This window comes from Homo sapiens, chromosome 10 (assembly GCF_000001405.40).
Source record: "Homo sapiens chromosome 10, GRCh38.p14 Primary Assembly".
Taxonomy (NCBI): Eukaryota; Metazoa; Chordata; class Mammalia; order Primates; family Hominidae; genus Homo; species Homo sapiens.
Window position 1 is genome coordinate 13,217,269 of NC_000010.11, and position 17,956 is coordinate 13,235,224.

Consider the following 17,956-nt stretch of genomic DNA (forward strand, 5'->3'; position numbering starts at 1 on the left):
GTGCTCGCTTCGGCAGCACATATACTAAAATTGGAACGATACAGAGAAGATTAGCATGGCCCCTGCGCAAGGATGACACGCAAATTCGTGAAGCGTTCCATATTTTTATGCCGCATATCTACAACTATCTGATCTTTGACAAACCTGAGAAAAACAAGCAATGGGGAAAGGATTCCCTATTTAATAAATGGTGCTGGGAAAACTGGCTAGCCATATGTAGAAAGCTGAAACTGGATCCCTTCCTTACACCTTATACAAAAATCAATTCAAGATGGATTAAAGATTTAAACGTTAGACCTAAAACCATAAAAACCCTAGAAGAAAACCTAGGCATTACCATTCAGGACATAGGCGTGGGCAAGGACTTCATGTCCAAAACACCAAAAGCAATGGCAACAAAAGCCAAAATTGACAAATGGGATCTAATTAAACTAAAGAGCTTCTGCACAGCAAAAGAAACTACCATCAGAGTGAACAGGCAACCTACAACATGGGAGAAAATTTTCACAACCTACTCATCTGACAAAGGGCTAATATCCAGAATCTACAATGAACTCAAACAAATTTACAAGAAAAAAACAAACAACCCCATCAAAAAGTGGGCGAAGGACATGAACAGACACTTCTCAAAAGAAGACATTTATGCAGCCAAAAAACACATGAAAAAATGCTCATCATCACTGGCCATCAGAGAAATGCAAATCAAAACCACTATGAGATATCATCTCACACCAGTTAGAATGGCAATCATTAAAAAGTCAGGAAACAACAGGTGCTGGAGAGGATGTGGAGAAATAGGAACACTTTTACACTGTTGGTGGGACTGTAAACTAGTTCAACCATTGTGGAAGTCAGTGTGGCGATTCCTCAGGGATCTAGAACTAGAAATACCATTTGACCCAGCCATCCCATTACTGGGTATATACCCAAATGACTATAAATCATGCTGCTATAAAGACACATGCACACGTATGTTTATTGCGGCATTATTCACAATAGCAAAGACTTGGAACCAACCCAAATGTCCAACAATGATAGACTGGATTAAGAAAATGTGGCACATATACACCATGGAATACTATGCAGCCATAAAAAATGATGAGTTCATGTCCTTTGTAGGGACATGGATGAAATTGGAAACCATCATTCTCAGTAAACTATCGCAAGAACAAAAAACCAAACACCGCATATTCTCACTCATAGGTGGGAATTGAACAATGAGATCACATGGACACAGGAAGGGGAATATCACACTCTGGGGACTGTGGTGGGGTCGGGGGAGGGGGGAGGGATAGCATTGGGAGATATACCTAATGCTAGATGACACATTAGTGGGTGCAGCGCACCAGCATGGCACATGTATACATATGTAACTAACCTGCACAATGTGCACATGTACCCTAAAACTTAAAGTATAATAATAATAATAAAAAAAGAAAAAAAAAAAAAAAAGAAAAGATAAAAAAAAAAAAAAAAATGTTAAACCATGGGTGTGTATTACCTGTTAGACTATTTTTTTTTTGAGATGGAGTCTCGTGTACCTGTTAGACTATTTTTAATTTTAAAAAGCCAAGATAATGTGGAAAGTGAATAAAACATTTTTAAACATTTATAATTTTAAACATTATAAGATCACAGAGTATATCAGAGTTCTCAATTGTAGACTAGAACATTTATATTTAACCAATTTGTTTTCAGAGAAATCCCTTCAAGGCTAGAGACAACTTTTTTTTAGAGACAGGGTCTTACTCTCTTGCCCAGTCTGGAGTGCAGTGGTGTCACATAGTTCACTATACCCTCAACCTCCTGGGCTCAAGCAATCCTCCCACCTCAGTCTCCCGAGTAGCTGGAACTACAGGCATGTGTCACCATGCCCAACTAATTTTTAATTTTTTTTGTAGAGATGGAATCTCACTATGTTGCCCAGGTCAGTCTCAAACTCCTGGGCTCAAGCGATGCTCCCACCTCGGCCTCTGAAAGTGCTGGGATTACAGGTGTGGCTCACCACGCCCAGCCTTTTAAATTATGAAAAACTTTTAAATTATGAAAAACTTCCCAAAGAATTAGAACATAATTGGCAGCAAATGAATTAGAAATAAAATAACCCAACTCAATGTAACTGATAAAAACCACATAAGTTAAAAAAATTTTTTTAATCATTCTGTGGCTCACAAAACTTACCACCTCCTTCTAAAAAATCTAAATAAACAAAGGCACACGATAATAAATTGTAAAATCTCTCCTGGAACACACAAAAACATTGTTTTTTCCTTGTACCTTTAACCTGCACTGGGAAAATGAAATTCCAACATATGCAAAATTGGTGAATAAAAATGAATGACAGATATATCCTTTGACAAATTTGTTTTCAACCACTTAGCTAGAACCCACTAAGAACTACGGGAAAGTAATGAAAGAACAGAAAAACCCAAGCAAAAGAAGCCCCAAAGGCCACACTTTTGACAAGGCCAGTCTCCAAAATACAAACCGCCCTGTTCTAATTTCATGTGAACTGTGGCTGTCCAGATCCCAGATCGCGTTACCTCTGTTATGCTTCTCCCGCCCAAGGAAATGACCGCAGCTGGCATTTGGTGAAGGAATTCTGGACCGAATTTGAAAACCCTGAAGTATAATGGAGCCCTTGTTAAGGATGGGGGTAGAACAAGGTAATGGAATTCTTATTTGGCTCCTTTCTGCCAGAGTTCTGTATCTAGAGCCACCGTGCTAAGCATGAGCAGGGAAGAGGCAAGAACAGGCTGTTTTGCTTTTTTAAAGCAAGCCATTCTTGGTTTTTGACATCTGAAAAGCCCTGCATTCCTTCCTGTGGACACACGACCGGCAGGTGGTGCATGGTGTGGCTGTGAGTCAAGTTATTGGTTGACATCCTCCTGATCACCACCATGCAGCAAAGGGGAACTGCCCTCTTGCCAGAAAGCACTGGGGTGTGTTATCCTGACCAATATGAACCAGATTGGGGCTTCTCTTGTTTCCCCATGGAAGTGACAGAGCAACACTTTGCCTTTTTTTCTGTTGCACACTGAGTATTTTTTTTAGTCATTAATTAAAAAAACAAAAACAAAAACCTTGTAAACAGAGGCTACCTACCTCAGGGCCTGTCTTGGCATCCAACCAGAAGGTCAGTTATGTGCAAATACAGTGCAACCTCCCTGGTATCGCTGGCTGAACAGCCTGCACCCCTGACTCAGGATCTGAGCTAGCAGTGGTTAAGCTTTCACTGCTGCCCAACTACCAACCCCAGTTGGCAGGCTCACCATCCACTCGGTAACTGATCTAGATAGACACATGTTGTTCTCAAATTTCATTTTTTCTTTTTCTTTTTTTTTTTTTTTTTTTAGATAGGGTCTCACTCTGTCTGACAGACGGGAATGTAGTGGCCTGATCATAGCTCACTGCACCCTCAAACTCCTGGCCTCAAACAATCCTCCTGCCTCAGCTTCCCAAAGCACTGGGATTACAGGTATGAGCCACCACACCTGGCCTTAAAGTTTTTCTGTTATACCAGTCTCTTCCACTGCTAGAACATTGCTTACTAAAAGCTGTGTGTCACTTTCAAGGAGGTTTGTGGAGAGCTGCGGGTTCCTAAACAGCCTTTCTGTTTAGCCAGGCCCGAAGGCATTGGGGTAGGTGGTAGAAGTACATGGATCACATAGCTAGGGTATGCACTAGGAACCTGGTTAAGTCTGACTTGGTTAAATTTAATGGAGCTAGAAGTGAGATTTGCCGTCTGAAAAGACACCATGAATAGTGTATATTTCAAGCACCCCTGTCCCCTGCCCAGGACTTTTCTGGTCTTAAGTTTACTTGCTTTCAGAAAGGATCAGCAAAGATGCCCAGCGATAGGAAGCACGCGACCTCTTCAAAGAGAAATTCGATTTAGCCAGTTTAAAATATGTAGAAGTCGGCTGGGTGCAGTGGCTCACCTGTAATCCAGCACTTTGGAAGGCCAAGGTGAGTGGATTGCTTGAGCTCAGGTGTTCAAGATCGGCCTGGACAACATGGCAAGACCCCGTCTCTCCTGAAAATACAAAAACTAGCTGTGCATGGTGGTACATGCCTGTAGTCCCAGATACTTGGGAGAATGAAGTGGGAGGATCACCTAAGCCTGGAAGGTCGGGGCTGCAGTGAGCCATGATCTTGCCACTGCACTGCAACCTGGGTGACAAAGTGAGACCCTGTCTCAAAAAAAAAAAAAAAAAAAAAAGTGTGTATATATATACATATATATATACACACACACGCACATATATATATATATGTTATGACCCAGCGTTTCATGTCCAGAAATCGATCACACTGATAGACGACTGGGTGAGTCAACTCTAGCATATTCGGTGGCATATGGGACATATTGAGAAGAGTGAGCAATGCTCCTCAAGTTCAAGCTTTCAAACACCCAAGTCAGCAAGAATCACATCATCGCTCAGGGAAGACAGCATGACACCCCTCGGTTGGAGATTTGAGAAGATAATACACATGGTTGATTCAGCGTTTTTATTTGTAAGCCATAAGCAAACATGTGATTCTTGACTGATTCTTTTGCTTGGGAACGAAGCCAGGGGAAGCCACTGTAGGTTTGGTACTAGGAGGCCCTGCAGGCAGTTGCTCACCTCAGAAGATGGTCTGCAAAGAGGTGAAAGTCAGGACACTTTCACACACTGGAAGGAAAGGCATGCGTCTTTTCAAGAGCTGCTGGCCACTGCAGACCCCAAGCTGAGACCCTCTGAAGGGCCGGTTTGCATGGGAAAGATTGCTGGAACACGGGGATGCCAATGGTGCTACAAGCTTTGTCTTCTTGGCCGGCTTCAGGATGGGATCAGGTGTGGTGGCGGTTGTAGAGATAGGATGGGTGCAGGCCGTCATAGTGCCACTGGCGCCACTGCTCCACAGCCTCCCGGCTCCTCTCTTCCTGCTCTGGGGAGGAAAGACAAAGCCACCTGTTAGGACAGGGGGACTCTGACCTGCCACTGAGCCCAGCAGCCATCAGCCGAACCCCTGCCCTGTGGTGACCTGCACTGAGAGTGTTTGTGAGCCCTGGTGAGAGAAGGCCAGGACTGGTGAGGATCCAGAGTATGTGAGCTGACAAGCCTTGTGTATAAGTCAGGCCCAGATGGGCGAAGGTCACAGGCAGGTGTAGACCAGGGCCGGGCATCTCAGGCTCTTCTGCCTGCCCAGCCAGTGTAGGAGGGCAGAGGCTTATGCAGCCCTGTTTCAAAGACTTAACAACCAAGACACAAGACGAAAAAGTAACAACACAGTAGCAGGAATGGACTACTGGAAGGACATGCAAGAAAAATAAGGGACTACAAACCATGCCTTGAAAACATGAAGGAAATCATTGTCGACTTGGAGTTTTTTTTCCTCCATACTGTTCTGAATTAATTTTCTTTTTTTTTCTTTCTTTCTTGTTTTGTTTTGTTTTGAGACGGGGTCTCAGTCTGTCACCCAGGCTGGAGTGCAGTGGCGTGATCATGACTCACCGCGGCTTCAACCTCCCAGGGCTCAGGCGATCCTCCCACTTCAGCCTCCTTTCACCATGCCTGGCTAATTTTTTAATTTTTTTATGGAGGTGGAATTTCAGTGTGTTGTCCAGGCTGGTCTCCAACTCCCAGTCTCAAGCAATCCTCCTGTCTCAGCCTCCCAAAGTGCTGTGATTGGCCAGGCGGGATGGCTCATGCCTATAATCCCAGCACTTTGGGAGGCTGAGGCTGGCAGATCACCCAAAGTCAGGAATTCTAGACTAACTTGGCCAACATGGTGAAACCCTGTCTCTACTAAAAAATACAAAAATTAGCCAGGCATGGTGACACACACCTGTAATCCCAGCTACTCAGGAGGCTGAAGTATGAGAATCACTTGAACCTGGGAGGTGGAGGATGCAGTGAGCTGAGATCACGCCACTGCACTCCAGCCTGGGCGACAGAGTGAGATCCTATCTCAAAAAAAAAAAAAACACAAAAGAAAGAAAAAAAGAAAATGCCCAAAAGAATTGAAAACAGGGACACACAAATGGATACTTCTACGTGAATGTTCGTAGCGCAACAGTTACAGCAGCCAAGAGGTGGAAACAACCCCAGTGTCCCTCAACAAAGAAATGGATAAACAAAATGTGGTGTGTATGTGTAAAATTTCGCCACAAAAAGGAATGAAGTTCTGGCACATTCTACAACATGGACAAACCTTAAAAATATTCTGCTGAGTGAAATAAGCCCAGACGCAAAAAGATGAATAATGTATGATTCCACTTAGATGACATGTCTAGAATGGGCAAGTTTTTGTTTTTGTTGTTTTGACTCTCGCTCTGTCACCCAGGCTGGGGTGCAGTGGCGTGATCTCGGCTCACTGTAACCTCCGCCTCCCAGGTTCAAGCGATTCTCCTGCCTCCACCTGGAGTAGCTGGGATTACAGGTGCATGCCACCACGCCCGCCTAATTTTTATATTTTTAGTAGAGATGGGGTTTCATCCTGATGGCCAGACTGGTCTTGAACTCCTGACCTCAAGTGATCGAACTGCCTCGGCCTTCCAAAGCACTAGTATTACAGGCGTGAGCCACTGCACCTAGCCTAGAATGGGCAAATTTACAGAGACAAAAAAAAAAAGAGGTTGCCAGAGGCTTCCAGGAGGGAGGAATGGCGAGTTACTGCTTTATGAATGCAGTTTCTGTATGAGGCTATGCAAGGGTTTGGAAATAGCAGTGACTGTTGCACAGTGAATGTAGTAAATGCTGCTGAATCGTATGCTTAAAAATAGTTTATGCTGGGCATGGTGGCTCACACCTGTAATCCCAGCACTTTGGGGGGCCAAGCTGGTAGGATCGCTTGAAGCCAGGAGTTTGAGACCAGCCTGAGCAGCGTTAGCAAGACATCGTCTCTACAAAAAATAAAAAAATATTAGCCAGGTGTGATAGCACTTGCCTATAGTCCCAACTACTTGGGAGGCTGAGTTGGGAGGATTGCTCGAGCCCAGGAGGTTGAGGCTGCAGTGAGCTATGATCATACCACTGCACTCCAACCTGGGTAACAGAGCAAAACCCATCTAAAAAAGAAAGAAAGGAAGCGGTGGGGAGGGAGGGAGGGAAAGAGAAAGTAAAGAAAGAGAAGAAAGAAAGAGAAAAAAAGAGAAAGAAAAAGAAAGGAAAAGGAAGAAAGAAAGAAGAGTTTAAATGGCAAGTTTTATGTTGTGTGTGTTTTATCACATTTTTAAGATGCATTTGTCAAAGATGTTGGAAGGATGGGAAATCCTAACAGAAGATGATGTCAAGAATTAAAGAACCAAGATGTCTTTCTTACCTCTGTTTTCTCAAATGTGGACCTCACCAAGAAGCCCATGAACCTGATTTTGGTACTAGCGAAAGTGAAACTGGCATCCTCTGTGGCGATGGCCAACAGGACCGCCTGGTGGCTTCAGGGTGTGAGGAATGGAGATGTTGCTTTGGTCCTTAGCACCTGTGAGAGCCGCGTGCTCAGGCCTAGTCTCACCTCGGCCCAGCTGGGTGCAGGGCCCAGTGACCAAGGCATGTTGAGGCACCGCAGCTGCCAGAAGTGTTTCCTTCTTATGTGGGCTCAGAGCTGGCCCTCCCCTTGGTGCTGAAAATCCCATTAGGTACTTGATAGCCCAGGGGCAGCCTGGAGCTCACAGAGCCAGGCCCAGGCCGGAGCTTTGTGTGTTCATCTTCAGCTCTTTCGGGCATTTCTCAAGCTCAGTAGACGAGCTACTCTTTGCCAACCCTGAGAGTGTGGTTTTGACGTAGAAGTTGATTCAGCATCCCTTTTTTTGTTGTTTTTGTTTTTGAGACAAGTTCTCATCCTGTTGCCCAAGCAGAAGTGCAGTGGCACAATCATAGCTCACTGCAGCCTCCTGGACTCAAGTGATTCTTCAGCCTCAGCCTCCCAAGTTGCTGGGACTACAGGCATGCACCACCATGCCGGGCTAATTTTTAATAGAGACAAGGTCTCGTTATGTTGCCAGGGCTAAATTCCTTGGCCTCCAAAAGTCCTGGGACTACAGGCTTGTAGTCCCAGTGGGCATTCCTTTTATGAAGTAAGTACTTTGGGGAGATGTCGAATATCCAACTGCTATCAGTAACCCTTAGAATAGGTGACTCGGGGCGGGGGCGGGGGCTCACGCCTGTAATCCCAGCACTGTGGGAGGCCGAGGTGGGCAGATCACCTGAAGTCAGGAGTTCAAGACCAGCCTGGCCAACATGGTGAAACCGTGTCTCTACTAAAAATACAAAAATTAGCAAGGCGTGGTGGTGGGTGCCTGTAATCCCAGCTACTCAGGAAGCTGAGGCAGGAGAATCACTTGAACCCCGGAGGAGGAGGTTTCATTGAGCCGAGATAGCGCCACTGCACTCCAGCCTGGTGACAGAGCGAGATTCCATCTCAAAAAAAAAAAAAAAAAGAATAGGTGACTTGGTTAGATAGGACAGTTAGCTGAAACCAGGGTCCTGACTGACAGGTATGTCAGGGGCCTCAGGGGAGGGCTTGGAAGTCAGACGCCTTGAGCACCGCCCCAGGGATGGTTTCAGGCAAGCAGAACCCCGTGCAACATTGTGAGCCACAGGCAACGGAGAGGAAAGAAGATTGAAATGATTTCCACCTTTTCCAAAACTCATCCTCCGGAGGCCAGGCCTGCTTCACCTTGTGACCCCTGCCTTGATGGAGCTCTGGGGAGACCCCCTGAGGGCTACTCTGCTTTATCTTTCTCACTCACTCCATCCGGGGGCCAATTCCTGGATCAAAGAAGCTCTCCAAGACCTCTATGCATTTGCTCATCCTTGATTTACAAGAACAGGAGCTTTGCTGGCAAATAAGCCTTGGGGTTCTAATGCTAGGGCTATCTACTAGCCTCGTCTCCTTGAGTATACATGTATCCTTTCTAAGCCTCAGTTTTTTATTTTTGTTGTGGATTTTTTTTTTTTTTTGAGACAGGGTCTTGCTCTGTTGCCCAGGCTGGAGTGCAGTGGCATGATCATAGTCACTCTAGCCTTGAACTCCCCAGGATCAAGTGATCCTCTGTTAACCACCCAAGTAGCTGGGACTACAGGCACATGCCACCAGCCAAGTTAATTTTCTCATTTTCTATGTTGCTCAGGCTGGTCTCGAACTCCTGGGCTGAAGCCATCCCCCTGCCTTAGCCTCCAGTGTAGCTGGGACTACAGGCACATGCCACGATGCCCAGCTTATGTTTTTTAATTGAAAAATTTTTTTTCTTTTGTAGAGACAGGGCCTCGCTTAGTTGCCCAAGCTGGTCTTGAACTCCTGGCTTCAAGCAATGCTCCCACTTTGGCCTCCCAAAGTGCTGGGATTACACGTGTAAGCCATGGTGCCCAGCCTGAGCCTCTATTTTTGAAACATGAGCTGGAAATTACAAGACCTGTCTCAGAGGCAGTTCGTGAGGATTAGGTGGCCACTTACAGTGCCTGGCAGAGCAAGGGCTCAAGGACAACAGCTTCTGGAACTGCATTCCCCAAAGGCCTGTGTTTTCTCCATCTGTGTGGGTGAGACCTAGGGTCTCCTGTCTTCCTATCCTGTAAGAGGACCTGCAGGCGCCCAACCCTGCATCCTGAATTCATCAAGAAAGGGAAAACAGTGAATGTTTTTTCATCTACATGCTAGAGCTTTGGGCCTAAAACATTTAAAACTGCTCAAAATAAAATGCTATTTTAATAGTATGAGTCAAAATCACACTGAAGGAATTTTGAAGGCCACATTCTCAACTTTTAAGTGCTTCTCCCCAAGCTGCCCACCAAGATAAACACATCTCTAGCAGAAGTGTGTGCTTCCAAGCTGTGATGGCCTGAAGTTTTCCCAGTATGTTCCTAAGAAAGTTTGATTTGCCAGGATCCAAGCCCAGCACCTGTTTGCAGGCCTCAGCCAGGTGCACCTGCAGGGCAATGGGCATAGCCTGCAGCACCTGACCCAGGGGTGGTTTCCTTTTCACTAGGAGATGCCTTCCGAGGGTGCTGCCTCCCCAGTCCATCAGAGCAAACGGCCAGGAGAAATGAAAGAGCTGACTCTCTCCCACAAAGGCGACCTAAACTGGGGCCTCACGTCCAAGTTCACGTGCACCCAGGAGGTACCAGGTGATTTTCCTCAGGAGCATTACAATCTTGAAATTTGGAGAAAGACCAAATAAATAAACAGGGCTAGGTGCGATGGCCCACGCCTATAATCCCAGCACTTTGGGAGACTGACATGGGCAGATTACTTGAGGTCAGGAGTTCGTGACCAGCCTGGCCAACATAGTAAATCCCCATCTCTACCCAAAATACAAAAATTAGCTGGGCATAGCGGTGCACACCTGTAATCCCAGCTACTTGGGAGGCTGAGACAGGAGAATCACTTGAACTCGGAGCGGGAGGTTGCGGTGAGCTGAGATCATGCCACTGCACTCCAGCCTGGGTGACAGAATGAGACTGTCTCAAAAAAAAAAAAAAAAAAGGAAAGGAAATACACACACACACACACACACACACACACACACACACATTCTCTGGTATGCTGGTGTGATCCCCATTAAACGGTCCTAAGGATGTTTGCTGTGGGTGACCCTTGAGGGTACTTCACAGCAAAATCAAATCCCACTCCGTGGAAGGCAGTGGCTCAAAGACAGAGCATCCTCTACCCGTGTCCCCAGCCACACCATCCTCCACTGAGCCCTGGCACAGCCAGCACTTTCTAAGAGCAGACAGGAACCCTGTCTGCCAAGGGGTTGAGGGGTGCGGAATGCCTGGCCAGAGACACTGGACTCTCTGGTCTAGGCCTTTTCTTTTCTTTTTTTTTTCTGAGACAGAGTCTTGCTCTGTTGCCCAGGCTGGAGTGCGGTGGTGCAATCTTGGCTCACTGCAAGCTCCACCTCCAAGTTTCAAGCAATTCACCTGCCTCAGCCTCCCAAGTAGCTGAGACTACAGGTGTGCACCATCACGCCTGGCTAATTTTTAATTATTTTTAGTAGAGACAGGGTTTCGCCACATTCGCTAGGCTAGTCTCAAACTCCTGACCTCAAGTGATCCGCCCACCTCAGCCCCTCAAAACTCCTGGCCTCCCTGGGCCTTTCCTACTCTCTATTTTTTGCTAGTAAGGAAAAGACCAAGGCTTAGAGAAGAGGATACAAATAGGAGAAGCATAAAGCCACAAGAAAACCATATAAAAATTTTCAGGTGATCTGATGCTTTTGGATGAGTTGGAGCCTGAAGATAGGCTGTAGATGTTGATGCTGCAGGTGGGGTGAGAGGGTAGAAGGCAAGCTGTTTTCTGAGTTCAGCTTTCCTGGTTTGCTTCTGCCAGTCAGTAAAGATGCTGAGTACACTGAATAGGTCAATGAAGGCCTTGATTTTCCAGGATGGAGTAGGACCTGGAGCCAGGACATTGACGTGAATATAAGGCACCTGCGAGTGAGTGTGGACTCTGTCCAATATGATCCTGCCAGAGCTAAGCCTAAGTGTTGGTGCTTAGACGGAGAACACAGACCAGTGCGGTGATGCCCAAATAGGAGGAGGGAGGGAAAGGAGTTTAATATCCACACAGTCAGCAAACAGTTGCCCCATCCCCACAGCCCCAAGCCAATGGGAATAAGGGTATTCTGTCCCCTTCCACACCTTCTCAAGTTCTGTGTAGCCATTTTTCTCCCTTCTTTTTATTTTATTTTATTTTATTTTTTTGATATGGAGTTTCACTCTTGTTGCCCAGGCTGGAGTGAAGTGGCACAATCTCCACTCACTGCAACTTCTGCCTCCCAAGTTCAAGCGATTCTCCAGCCTCAGCCTCCTGAGTAGCTGGGGTTACAGGTGCCCGCCACCACACCCAGCTAATTTTTGTATTTTTAGTAGAGATGGGGTTTCGCCATGTTGGCCAGGTTGGTCTCAAACTCCTGACCTCAGGTGATCTACCCTCCTCAGCCTCCCAAAGTGCTGGGATTACAGGCATGAGCGACTGCGCCCGGCCCTCCCTTCTTTTCAAGGCTCTCCTGGATATGAATTGAAAGTAGACCTTCCCTTTCCTCCCTCCTCCAATTAAAAGTTCAGTACCAGCCTGGCCGACATGGCAAAGCCCTGTCTTTACTAAATATACAAAAATTAGCTAGGGGCATCTGTAATCCCAGCTACTCTGGAGGTTGAGGCAGGAGAATCGCTTGAACTTGGGAGGTGGAGGTTGCAGTGAGCCAAGATCACACCACTGCATTCCAGCCTGGGCAACAGAGCAAGACTTCGTCTCAAAAAAAGAAAAAAAAAAAAAGTTGGGTAGAAGAAGAGAAAGCAAACCATGTGATTTCTCCCCAACGCTCCACCTCCCTGAAGACACTGGCTGAAGAGCTCTTACCATCGTTTTGTTCCTCCACGAAGTTCTCAAATTCATTCCTTTGTTCCTCGTAATATTCTCTCCGCAGCTCATCAACCCGAAGCTTCTGCCTGTTTTCCACTGTGAAAGGAAAAGAAGCAAGAGTTGCCCCTCAAGAATGAGGACACTTAGGGGCACACACTTAGGGGAGCACAGTTCATCTGAGAAGTCACCTGGTTGGGGGATGAGTGGTTTGTGGGGGATTGTGATTGGAGACTTCCCTGAAATGATTTACTCCTGACACAGACTTTAAAACTTGAAGGTGATTATCTGATCCAGCTGCCTCATTTGCAAATGAGAAGATAGAGGCCCCAGAGAGTAAAGTGATTTAGCTCTGATTATAAAGTTGGTGGCATATCCAAGTATACCAGGCCACTTGGAAACCAGAAATCCCATAATCAGAAACAAATTCCCTAAAGGAATAATACAACTTAATCTCACATCCATTCAACATTTTCGAGCTCTTATCACGGCCAGGATGTAGGCTAAGCACTGGAATTAAAAAGCCGAATAAGAAAGATTCCGTCCTTCCAGCCAGATACGGTGGCTCACGCCTGTGAGCTTAGCTACTAGGGAGTCTGAAGCAGGAGGGTTGCTTGAGGCCAGGAGTTCAAGGCTGCAGTAAGTTATGATTGTACTGCTGCACTCCACCTTAGGCAACAGAGCGAGACCCTGTCTCAAAAACAAAATAAAATAAAATCCTTCCCTCTGCTTAAGAGACCTATAATTCAATAAGGAGAAAGACATAAGACAAGTTTTACCAAGCATTACAGCTGTTGGAATAAAAATTCCCGGTTGTCTGGAGGAAACGATGTAAAGCTCTCTACTTTCAAGGTATTTCCCCCAACACGAGCTTCAACTGGAGAAACCCATGAAGCCAGGGAGGCCACGTCTAGGGCAGGAAGAACCAGTCCCTCAGCACGCCTCACGATCTCACAGTGGGATTCCCCTCACACCAAATGGGGGAGACGGAGGTACTGTTTTTTTGCCCCATCAACTCTGATGTGCAAGAGGAGGCTGGGGGGTGCTGAAGGAAGCAGAGAAGCTGGGGAAAGTCATGGTTCCCTACCCCCAACCCACATTACAGAGGTGCTGGGAGAAACAAGGAAAAGTCTTTGCAAAATGATAATATTGGAAACCATCTCAGGCCGGGCGTGGCGGCTCACGCCTGTAATCCCAGCACTTTGGGAGGCCGAGGCGGGCGGATCACTTGAGGTCAGGAGTTCAAGCCCAGCCTGGCCAACATGGCAAAACCCCATCTCTACTAAAAATACAACAATTAGCCAGGCGTGGTGGCAGGTGCCTATAATTCCAGCTACTTGGGAGGGTGAGGCAGGAGAATTGCTTGAACCGGGGAGGTGGAGGTTGAGATCACGCCACTGCACTCCAGCCTGGGCAACAGAGCGAGACTCTGTCTTAAAATAAATAAATAAATAAACAAACAAACCATCTCAAATCCTTGGAAGTAAGACGCTTACCTTAATTAATGAATTATATAAATACTAGTTATTTCTGTTACTTTTCTATTACTTAACTCAGATTAAAAATCAAGTTATCTGTGAACTGGGCTTAGTGCAGATTCCAGACGTCTGGAATGTTTCTTCCCAAACGTCTGCCGTGACCTACTTAGTTGCAGGAAACTTGAGTCTGGCAGAAGGGGTTGGTTATCCCATCCATACCCATGCCCCACCTCTCACTCGGCATTCACACATTTCTCAGAGGGGATTCAGGCTCAGAGATGTGCATGACCTAACAGAGGTCACACAGCAGATTGGGGCAGAGCTAGGGTACCAGGTTCCCACACGCCACTGCTGGCTCAGCTTCCCTCTTCCCACCCACTGTGGGTCCTGATGTTGCTCCAAGCGCCAGAAAGCCGTTGTGGGAGGTGCGGGGGCTTAGGGTTTAGGAAGCAGGTACTTAGTAAGTCACTGCCTATTCCTAAAGAAGCGTCCTCTGTCCCCTGTGTACTCAGGACAGCAAACAATCTTCCCAAGTGGTCTTTTCAGAGGTGTCACAAATTAGAGCTTTGACGTAATGAATAAGAACAATTTAATCCTCAGGACAAGATAGTAATTTTATACTATGTGTCATTCTGTGCATTGTATACGTTTCTTCTCAAGAACATGCATTCATCACACTCTCTTTTCACCCTAAAGTAACTTCACCTTTATCCCAGAGGCTTAGAGATGTCAGATGCCTGTCTCCTGGTTCCAAATTCAAGTTGGCTGAAGTGTCTGTCACCTGCCCTTTATCCAACCTGAGGCATCGCTGGGCACTGCCCTCCTGCTATCCACAGGAGTTGACTGGGTGACAGCAGATGCATTCATGCACAATCCTGGGTGTTCACCAGGCTGTCCTGCACCTCCCATGACTAATTGACACACTGAGCTTCTGTCCGAGGTAAGGCACTTCAGGCTAAATGGTGTAGCTCATTGTTTGGAGTCAGCTTAAGAGGACAGAAGAGGCCATGCGCGGTGGCTCATGCCTGTAATCTCAGCACTCTAAGAGGCCGAGGCAGGGGGGTCACCTGAGTTCAGGAGTTCGAAACCAGCCTGGCCATCATGGCAAAATTCTGTCTCTACAAAAATACAAAAATTAGCAGGCGTGGTGGCAGGCATCTGTAATTCCAGCTACTTGGGAGGCTGAAGCAGGAGTATTACCTGAACCTGGGAGGTGGAGGTTGCAATGAGCCAAGATCCTGCCACTGCACTCCAGCCTGGGCGACAGAGTGAGACTCCATCTCAAAAAAAAAAAAAAAAAAAAAAAAGAGGACAGAAGCTATTTGCCTGGCCTAAAATCATGCCTGTTTCCCCTGGAAGTCTGCCAGAAGATTGCTTCTCCCATTTTAATCAAAAACAGTCCAGCCCCCCTCCCAACCTTTCAGTGCTTCTTGACATTGGCCAACTTTTAAATCTCCAGTTGTATGAGGCCTGGAGGTTTTCCTAGCACGGTTATACTTATTCAATTTTTTTTAAAAAAAGAAATTTCATCTCCAAGCATTTCTATCTCTGTTCTTCCCATCATTTGAAAACAGTCCTGTTATTTTTACCAAGCAAGTCACCTTGCTGAGTGCCCTGAAGAATACAAAGAGTTCATTCACCCACAGGCACGAGGAGGAAAGACTCAAGCCAGAGACTCGGGAGATACTGTCTGAGCTCAGCATCTTGGAAGAAGCAGGTTCAGGAGTAGAAACTCAAATGCCCTCAGGGGTTGGCAGGTGAAGGGCATGAGGACCCTGAAGCCGGGGCTCCACAGGCCCTACAGCAGGCTGTGCAACAGACAGGCTCACCCCAATGTGTTGAAAATGAAAACTTAAAAAAAAAAAAACCTCTGCTGGCTGAACACAGCTCTTTCAGAGGCTTATAAATAAGGAAATTAGGACCAGAGGGAGGAAGTAGCCAAGGCCACTTAGCAGCACAGCTGTCCCCAGACCCACATTTCTCAGCACCCAGTGTCCTGTGCCTTCCCCATGTGCGATGCTGTTGCTCTTATACAGAAGGTGTGCTGGACCAGTACCCGCAAAGCACACACTGATGTGTGGGTCGCCTCCAGACCAGAATATAGATTTCCCTCCCTACACCTTTCTGAAATCCAATGCATCTTATCCCTGTTAGGTGTGTTTAATGTAGCATCATGGCCAAGAAGCAGGACAAGAGGACCTGTCTCCAAGTCATCTTTGCAGAGGTGGGGCCTCCTAACCCTGACAAAGTATTCAATCCAATATACGACCTACAGTCAGGAAATAGGGTGTAATTTCTCATTCAGAGCTGCAGTCCCTTTGATACCCTGGGGTGAGCCCTTCGTGCCCAGCTGCATCCTGCTGCCCGGCTGACTGTGGGAGAGGAGGAGCCGGGGGGTGTGAGCAGAGGTGGTGATGGACGCGGGATGGGGTCCCTCCAGCATCCTTACCATTGACCTCATCTCTGGACTTGGGGGACCGCTTGCCGCGCCTCTTGAGGAAATTCGAGGCATCTGATTCCTGCATGAAAATCTTCTGTTTTGCATCTGAAACCCGGGAGAGGCCTGTCACCAGCAGTGTGGGGGTGCTGGGGCTGCTGCTTCGCTGGCTGCACCTGCCCTGCCCCGTGGGTGGCCCCTGCACTCACCTTCACTCGCCTCTTCTCCCGCCATCTGCATGGTGCCCACAGATACACTGGTTCCCTCTCTCAGCACTGCAGGACAAGGGCACAGAGTGAGGCTGCAGCATCAGAGGGGAGCCCAGACCCTGAGCTGAGTCCCCATCTCTCTTTCCAGGCTAAGCGTCCTGCCAGGGCCTGGCAGGGGGCCCGTGGTTTCTCACGTACCAGCTGCAGAGCCAATCTCCCCAGGAACCCACCAAGCAAGCTGGCTTGGGTTTTTTTTCTATTTTGTTTCTTTCTTTACTGTTTTTTATTATTATTATTATTTTTCTGTATTGCATTGTGTCCTACATGCACACGACACACACATACACACATGTTAACAATAAGCATACTCCTTTCTACCTGCATCACCTGAGCAGCCTTACCTGTGCATGGTAAGTCTCCCTTACCATGTAACTAACACCCTCCACCTTGACCCTCCTGTACTCACTAGACAGGAGCACCACGGCGGAGAAGCAAGACAGCAGGACGGCCTGTCTCCAAGTCATCTTTGCAGAGGTAGGGGCTCCGTCCAGGACCCACAAGGCAGACCAGGCGTCCTGCACCCTTTGGGTCCCCACTTCTGAGGCAGGCAGCCCAGGCGAGAGGAAGGAAGGCGGGGGAGGGAAGAGAGAGGCAGGAGGCTGGGATACCACTGGGGGAGAGGAGGAGGGGGCTGGGCTGCCCTTTCCATTGGCTGCTCCTAGATGGAGCAACGGAGATGTTTTTGGCACCTGGCAAATGTCTCCAGAAGCAGAGCTTGTAGTTAGGGCCCTGGGTGGGACGGTCTTGGAGTGGCCTTTCCAATGTCCGTGTCTGGGGATCTGCTGCTGGGAAGGCTCATCCTAACAGTCAGGGTTCCAGTGACCAAGGCCTGTGTCAAGGAGGTCCTGGCACCTGCTCCAGGGACGTTAGGGCCCCGGTCCTCAGGGTTGAAGCATGGGTGGGGGCAAGGAGGAAGAGAGGATCAATGGGGGAGTTTTGATCTAAATGTCAGTCAAGAAGGGCTCATAATGACTGGAATACCCATCAGGGTGACACACAGACGTGTGGGTCATGCTGACAGCGACCAGAGAACACCTTACCTGATGCACTGCTTCCAGCTGATGCTCACTGCCAAGCCAAACACAAACTCCTGGGGCCGCGGGTCCCAGAGCCCTTTAAAGTCAATTGCCTTCCCGCGGTGGCTCATGCCTGGAACCCCTGCACTTTGGGAGGCCGAGGCAGGCAGATCACCTGAGGTTAGGAGTTCGAGACCAGCCTGGCCAACACGGTGAAACCCTGTCTCTATTAAAAATAAAAATAAACAAATTAGCCGGGCATGGTGGCGGGCGTCTGTAATCCCAGCTACTCAGGAGGCTGAGGCAGGAGAATCACTTGAACCCGGGAGGCAGAGGTTGCAGTGAGCCGAGACCGCGCCACTATACTCCAGCTGGGGTGACAGAGCAAGACTCAGTCCCAAAAAAAAAATACAT

At 47.5% G+C, this 17,956-nt stretch overlaps 1 protein-coding gene and 1 pseudogene across 3 annotated transcripts, besides 1 other annotated feature; one reads left to right on the forward strand and one right to left on the reverse strand.

The window, feature by feature from the left end:
* On the forward strand, nucleotides 1-107 carry RNU6-6P (RNA, U6 small nuclear 6, pseudogene; annotated as a pseudogene).
* UCMA (upper zone of growth plate and cartilage matrix associated) lies at nucleotides 4,498-17,106 on the reverse strand. 3 transcript variants are annotated; one of them, NM_145314.3, is made up of 5 exons: nucleotides 16,933-17,106; nucleotides 16,467-16,532; nucleotides 16,270-16,365; nucleotides 12,343-12,441; nucleotides 4,498-4,932 (listed from the first exon to the last, which is right to left on the reverse strand). In NM_145314.3, the coding sequence occupies exons 1-5, from the start codon at nucleotides 16,988-16,990 to the stop codon at nucleotides 4,835-4,837; spliced, it is 417 nt and encodes a 138-aa protein (NP_660357.2). In that variant the 5' UTR covers nucleotides 16,991-17,106; the 3' UTR covers nucleotides 4,498-4,834. The 3 variants fall into 3 exon arrangements, with proteins under 3 accessions (NP_660357.2, NP_001290047.1, NP_001290048.1); NM_001303118.2 differs by lacking the exon at nucleotides 16,270-16,365; NM_001303119.2 differs by lacking the exons at nucleotides 16,270-16,365; nucleotides 16,467-16,532.
* Nucleotides 16,809-17,719: an enhancer, noted in NCBI's record as "H3K4me1 hESC enhancer chr10:13276077-13276987 (GRCh37/hg19 assembly coordinates)". NCBI's record gives its function as "activates a minimal SCP1, AML or CMV promoter by ChIP-STARR-seq in naive H9 embryonic stem cells {active_cell/tissue: H9 hESC(naive)}" and the evidence as "EXISTENCE:reporter gene assay evidence [ECO:0000049][PMID:30033119]".

What these genes read in the sequence shown, in the direction of transcription:
- UCMA (NM_145314.3), bottom strand. Translation starts at nt 16,990, where the DNA reads ATGACTTGGAGACAGGCCGTCCTGCTGTCTTGCTTCTCCGCCGTGGTG. An exon ending in GTCCAGAGATGAGGTCAATG is followed by an intron (nt 12,442 to 16,269) that starts GTAAGGATGCTG and finishes TTCCTTTCACAG; the next exon opens with TGGAAAACAGGCAGAAGCTT. An exon ending in CGTGGAGGAACAAAACGATG is followed by an intron (nt 4,933 to 12,342) that starts GTAAGAGCTCTT and finishes TTTCCTCCCCAG; the next exon opens with AGCAGGAAGAGAGGAGCCGG.